Genomic DNA, 6,849 nt, shown 5'->3' on the forward strand with positions numbered 1-6,849 from the left:
TCTCCATAAAAAGTTATATATATTATTTCTTAGACTACTTCTCATATGCTTTACAATTTTGTTGCTATTGTAAATGATATGCTATTTTAGATTGAATCTTTAATTTGTCTTTACTTGTAAAAAAGGATTGTATTTCATTCTCTATTGGTAAGATAGTTTGATATTTCATGCACTAGGCTGTAGAATACCAAAATAACCCAATAGTTGAGCAGCCTCTTACCTTTTGATGTCAAAAAACCAACTACTCTGAAATTGCTGCTGCAGTCTGGGAATAACAAGTGTCTGAACTGCCTCCTAAGATGTCACTAATTTATGTTTCCATGCTATTTTTTCAAAACATGCTTACTTGGCACCAATGCACACCCCAGTCCTCTCCACTTCTGCTTCTGCTCCTTCAGAGAACTCAGCCCCTGAAACATCTGATTGAATTGTGCCTGCCTGAGTTTTACTTAAGTGGGTCCAACCTTGGATGCAAAACTGGTGATTAGAAAGTTGGGCCAGGCCAGAGCAGGAAAAACTGACAAGTGTCTTCCCCATTAAGTGATATCATTTCTGTTTCATTTCTCAAACTAACTCAGAAGGGGGTCCTGGGAGGCAAGAGAACAGAGGAAGCAGAGAGGGGGACTGGACAGAACAGAAAGGCCTATGACTAACACCTTCATGGAGCACGGATGGACAGACTGCCCAGCAGGGTCTCTGAGCTAAGCCAGGTACCAATGGGCTAAATACAGGTTCCTTCCTCTATCCTCTTCCTCCTTCTCCTCCCTGACGTCTTCTTAGGTTAACCATGATGGAGCTGACAGCTCTTTCATCTCAGTGAGTTCAAGCATGCAAATCCAAGAACAATCTGCCTCAAAGTAGACTGCTTACCCTTTATTATGATGTGATGGAAAAACACTTTTCTTAATGGTTTCTAAATGGTTAAACTTTTTGAAATAGTTATTCCACACCATTATCTTGTTTGATCTGGAGATAATGGGTGTGGAATAACTAGTTCAAAACTAATTTTTTTTTTTTTTTAAGACAGGGTCTTGCTCTGTCGCCCAGGCTGGAGTGCAATGGCGTGACCTCGGCTCACTGTAACCTCCACCTTCGGGGTTCAAGTGATTCTCCTGCCTCAGCCTCTTGAATAGCTGGGACTATAGGCACTGGCCACCATGCTTGGCTAATTTTTGTATTTTTAGTAGAGATGGGGTTTTGTCGTGTTGGCCAAGCTTGTCCCAAACACCTGGCCTCAAATGATCCACCTGCCTCAGCCTCCCAAAGTGCTGGGATGACAAATGTGAGCCACTATGACAGGGCTATAATCCCTGTTTTCAAATTGACACTGAATAAGTCACAGCCTTGCCCATGTTACCTAGTGAATTATGTGAGGATTAGTCCCCTGGGCATTCGGACCTTCTGGCTGAGTTCTTCCAGCCTCCGATTGTTTCTCATATTTGATTAACGTTCACATCGTTTTTAAAAAAGGAAGAATATTTCCCCAGACATCTAATATTGACCTACATTATTTATATCATAGTGTAACCCAAAAAGTACAAACCAAAAATAGGTATAACTTCCCAATGTTTGTAGCTCCATTATAACTAAGAATTAATTGAATACTAACAAAATTCTAAAGCAAAAAATTTTTAAGGTAACCATATTAGTCCAATTTGAACCATTACGTTGTTTTCCTGAAATGAAAGCATTGCTGTGGATGGGCCTGTGGCCATGGCTGCTCTGTGGCAGGCTGTGCCTCCGTGGGCTCGCCATTCCTCCCTAGTCCAACTCCTGCAGAACCTTCGTTTCTCTAAAACACCGTGACACCGGTGGGCCTGCCCTTGCCACAGATACATCATTGAAGGGGTGAAGCTGCCTCTGTCTTTTGCCCTTTCAAAGTTCATTCCTTCCTAAGGAAAAGGCAATTAGCAATTCTTATTAAACCTGGCTTTCCTTCATGAACCATGGTGGAATTAACCCTTTGCATCATGGGACAGAATTAATCATTTCTAGATTTGGGATCTTTTTTTAAAAAGTGATCAGATATTCCTCTTTGGGCAGGGGGTGTAAAGGGGGAAGATAAATACTGAAGAATTCAATTTTGCTGTGTGAAGGCCTCGTCTCTGACAAGTAGTTAATCTATTTGTTGATACTGTGAGAGGAGAGGCTCCAGCAGGGAGAAAATTAAAAAACGCTCAGCGCCAGTTGCTACTCTGATGAATCTCATCCAATTATTTAACAGGACACTGCTTGCTGGGTGTACCTTTTTTTTATTGTTTTAATTTTATTTTGTTCTCTATTATGTGTCATATCATTATAAAAGTTTTCTGGATTAAGAAACCCTTTCAGTCTGCCCTTTTTCATTCGGCCACCATTGATTTTTTTTGCTTCTGTGTTCATAACTGAGTTTGAAATTAATGTAGGATTATTATTGATTTATGTATGTATTTATTTTCTTTCCTCTTGGAATGTAGCATCTTAGAGGCTGGATTCTGAATAGAATTTGAAAGAGCATCCGCTGCAGGAGGAGAGTTTTAGGTTAGGGAAGTATTGTTCAGAGTTGTCTGAATGGGGAAGGACTGGAGAACAGTGTTAGTTACACTCCTCAGAAGGACTGAGGCAAGCTGCTCTCCCCAGGGAGAACATTCTTATTGGTTTAGTTTAGGCCTCGCTAGCCTCCAAGACTCGCGTGGATGTAGAAAAAAGGCAGTTTTTCCTCTGGGGGAGTCGCTCTGATCTTGCCGGATTCTGGTTCACTCCTAAAGGCACTGGCAGAGATGAAGTTTTGGCCAAGCTCCCCCATGGCCCAGCGTGCCTGCAAACGACACTGCTCTCCTAACCCCAGCTACAGTTGGGACACACTGATCGGACCTGGGCATGGGTAAAGCTCCATGGTATGTTGTAAGTCACCAACCTCTGAGGTCTATAAGGGTTCCCTGGCCTCACCCAATTTGTGACATAAGCCTTGTGGTTATCACCCCAATCCCTTGGACCCAGGGATAGGGATGCCAGACAAAATACATGCTAGCCAGTCAAACTTGAATTTCAGATAAATGATGAATGATTTTCAAAATGTTAGCGTAGTGTATCCCGAAGATCGCAAGAGACAGATGTATGGCTCTGTTCCTCTCCACCCTGCTCTTCACACACACTCAGAGTCAGAGGCTTGCCCCCTGCTCCATTTTCCCTTGAAGCCTCTAACCTTCAGCAACCTTGATTCCTTCTTCCTTCAGTCTCCTTGCCTCCAGCCGGGAAGCCAGACTCCCCCCTGCTCAGCACTGCTGCTGATGCTTACAGGTTAGGGGAAGGGTCCACGTGGAGGCCCTGGCCTCAGGCCCCCCGCTGCACCCCGCTGCTGATACTTACAGGTTAGGGGAAGGGTCCACGTGGAGGCCCTGGCCTCAGGCCCCCCGCCCCACTCCAGTTCTTGGCCCCAGCGCTGTTCTGTGTTTGAGGAGCCTGTGGGCCTTGGTCTCAGATCTTTCCACACTCCACCCCACCTTTACCCAGACAGCTGTCCCTTGGCCCGCCTGCTCACCTGCCATGTGGTCTGGAACAGGGAGGGTGTTCCTGGAGAAAAGCCTTTGTGGGCTCTCTGAAAAGCCCAGGGTCAGGCAGAGACCCAGCATGGGTCCCAGTGCAGCCCCGCTGTGGTTCTGGAGAGGCTGTGTGGCCATTCTTTTGGCCGGTGGCCACTGCTTCTGGATTTCTTCATTCTCCTTCAGAGGGTCCCGTGAAGACCAAGGCATCGGCTGGTTTACCCTCACTGCTGCGTCCCTCCTTTCGCCCTCCTTCCCCACCACAGCTACCATCTCCCTTCCTCTGTCCGGGACAGGATGTAGGGTTTCCATTCCCTTGAACACACAGGTCACTGGGGCGGAGGGGAAGTCACCAAATTTAATTTAACAAAATCTTCACAACCCAACAGTTTCAGTGTAGTGTGTTCCTAAGGCGACAGAGGAACAGATAGAAGGGAGAAACGAGCGTGGGGAGAACCATTGTTATTTGGGAAAGAATTCAACCAGTTTTCACTCCCTTCCCCCTCCCCCCCTGCTTTGGGCAGAATTCAGCTAGTTATTTTCCAATCCGGTTGTGTGTATAGACACACCACAGCTTCTTTGATCCCTGCCTTTCCTCCTAATAGACAAACTGCTGCCAAAGCTTCCAGCTTCTTTCTCCATGGTGACCAAGCCCCTCATTTCCATTTAATCTCAGCCTCCACCTCCCCTGTACCCCACCCCCTCCTTCATGTGGAGCTGGTTATTTCCTTTCTCTTCTCTCATTTCTCTCCCCTTCCCCCAGCAGTTCACAATCCTCTTCAAAGTTTCAGGAGTAAATATCAATGTGTGATGGTTCCTTCCTTTCTCCCCGACCTGCCTCTTTCTACTCTCTACCCCTTTTCTCTGGTGGCTCCCAAATCTTTGCTCTTCTTGGCTCTTCAAACACATTCCTCTTAGTTCCCCCTCAAACTCCCTTTCCTGCTCCAGTCTCTGGCCTAAGAGATGTGAAGATGCAGAGGAGGGAGGCAGGAGGGACGGGCCTCCCACTTCCCTACTTCCTTTCAGCAGACCCCTGAAGAAAAGAGGCGGAAGGAACTAGGAATGGGATGAGTTGGGTTCTTGCCAAGGGGCCCTCCCTCCCCTCCCTCCTCTGTCTCCGAGCTCTGCCTGCACTCGGGTTCACGCGGGAGAAGATGAATCTGCAGCACCAGCCCCTGCCAGTCTCCCACAGCCAGGGTGGCCAAGCCCTCAGGGCTCTGCAGGACAATCCTCGGCGTCTGCTGCTGCTGCTGCTGCTGCTGGAACCTTCTCAGGGTGTCCTCTGCTGGCAGGCAGGCTTCGCACACAGGTGAACAGAACTCACCACCAGTGAGAAAGCTGGCCGTCTCACACCTTGGCTAGTTTGTGAAACCCAACTCATTCCACCAATGTTGCCTCATGGACTGGCTTTGGAAATTCCATTAATAGCTCCTCTCTGGCCTTGAAGCCTTGCTACCCTAATCCATCAATGACCATTTCACAACCGGGGAATGACATCTGTCCATGTACTCACTTTTTATGGTCCGGTCCTTTACAGCCTACACACATTCTTCCTGAAGATCTCTTACTGGGTCCTCATGATAATGAAATTCCAGCTGTGCAGAGGGAAACTGAAGCTTGCAGAAATTAAATATATTCACCAAATATCTGAACAAAGAAGTAATCGGTGGAGCCAGGGCAAGAACCCAACTCATCCCATTCCTAGTTCCTTCTGCCTCCTTTCTTCAGGGATCTGCTGGAAGGAAGTAGGGAAGTGGGAGGCCGCACACTCTGGCACAAGGCAAAGGGGTTAACAGGAGTGTGTTGACTTTTGTCCTTCTGCCAAGTCCCCTCACATCCAATTTACATTGTTATACAATGCTGATCTGTACCATTCTTGTTAATGTTTCTTTATAGATGTTTTAGTTATGTCTGTCCCATATGTGCGTCTGACTTTTTTCGTAGAATCTGAGCTAGCTCCTTGCTGCACTACTACCCCGGGAATCAGAACAGGTTTCCGCATGCAGCTCTTTGGTGAGAGTGACTTAGGGCCCCTCGAGGGACATGAGAAAACGATTTCGATACCGTGAACACTGGGGCAGGTAGAAACCCAACTTATCCCAGCTTTTCCATCTTCCTGCCAGGCCCCGGCCGGGCTTCCCAGCCTCCTCGTTAGCCTCTGTGAAAAATTAAAGCCCCAATAATCAAATCAACCCTTGTAAATGCTCTAAAAGCCGCTCCAGAGCACCAAGGAGCCAGCAAACCCCAGACCCAAATCCATGTCAAATTTCATAGATATAATTTAAGCAGGGATCAAAACCCACACTAACCTAGTAACTAAGGCTGCTCAAAATGCACTTTATAGTCCATCTGCCTCTCTGCTTCAGGGAGTCTGTATTAAATTTATTGCAAAGTAAAACAAATAAACCCAGGCAAAGGCAAGATGGAAATCTGCATACTGTCAGAGAATTAGCAGCCCTCTCGGGTTAGGAAGGCTGCCTCTCAATTTGCATCTCTAAGGAGTTGTGACTGGGCTGGGGGGCTGGGATGGTCGGGGCAGGACGGAGACTCGGAGCAGGCCTGCCCCCTGCTGGCTGACTGTAGAACTACAACCCTCTGGCCGCGGTGGTGGGCTCTGCAGGGCTCGCCCCGCCAGCTTTTGAAAGACAATCTGCAGCTGAAATAAATGTTGAAAAGGTGTGGAATTGGAAGAGCACGTAGTAGAAAGAGGGGAGGGAAGGGCTCTGTGGGGAAGAGATCCTCATTTCTGAACATAAAGCTTGAGGAAGGCGGGAACTTGAAGTGGGTGGATATAGAGTTTCAGAGCTGTCTTTTCTGTTGTAGGAACAGGAGACTGCGGTGCATTTCTTGACTCCTCTTCCCCTTCTTTTCCTTCTCCCTTTCCCTTGCTCTCCATAATCACAAAACGCAGAAGACTGGAGTGCAGGCGGCAGGGGTCCTTGCATGGCACTGTTGGCTTTGCTGTGTGACCCTTGGAGAGAGCTGTGCCTGAGACCAGGGTGAGGCCTTGCTTGCAGGGTGGTGCTGGCGGGTTGGCGCCTGTGTGGCTGGAGACGGGGTGCTTCCTGAAATTCCGCTTCACCCCAGGCCTGGCACTGCTCAGTCGGCTCACCTGTGGATAGAGAGGGCCTCTGAGGCTCCTTTCAGAGTGAATATCTGAATTTGATGACTCTGGTTGAAGAGCTCAGGCATCAGTCACAGACTTTCCAGGGAAGCTCCCAGGATCCCCGATACTCTCCTAGGATATTCCCATCATAACCTTCAGCACTGGCTCCAGTGGTACCCTCTCTAGATTGAGGCTCCCCCTGACTTCTTTAGTCAGAGATGG

At 47.8% G+C, this 6,849-nt stretch overlaps 1 annotated feature.

The window, feature by feature from the left end:
- Window positions 5,965-6,521: an enhancer, noted in NCBI's record as "H3K4me1 hESC enhancer chr11:125011687-125012243 (GRCh37/hg19 assembly coordinates)". NCBI's record gives its function as "activates a minimal SCP1, AML or CMV promoter by ChIP-STARR-seq in naive H9 embryonic stem cells {active_cell/tissue: H9 hESC(naive)}" and the evidence as "EXISTENCE:reporter gene assay evidence [ECO:0000049][PMID:30033119]".

This window comes from Homo sapiens, chromosome 11 (assembly GCF_000001405.40).
Source record: "Homo sapiens chromosome 11, GRCh38.p14 Primary Assembly".
In the NCBI taxonomy this organism is placed as follows: Eukaryota; Metazoa; Chordata; class Mammalia; order Primates; family Hominidae; genus Homo; species Homo sapiens.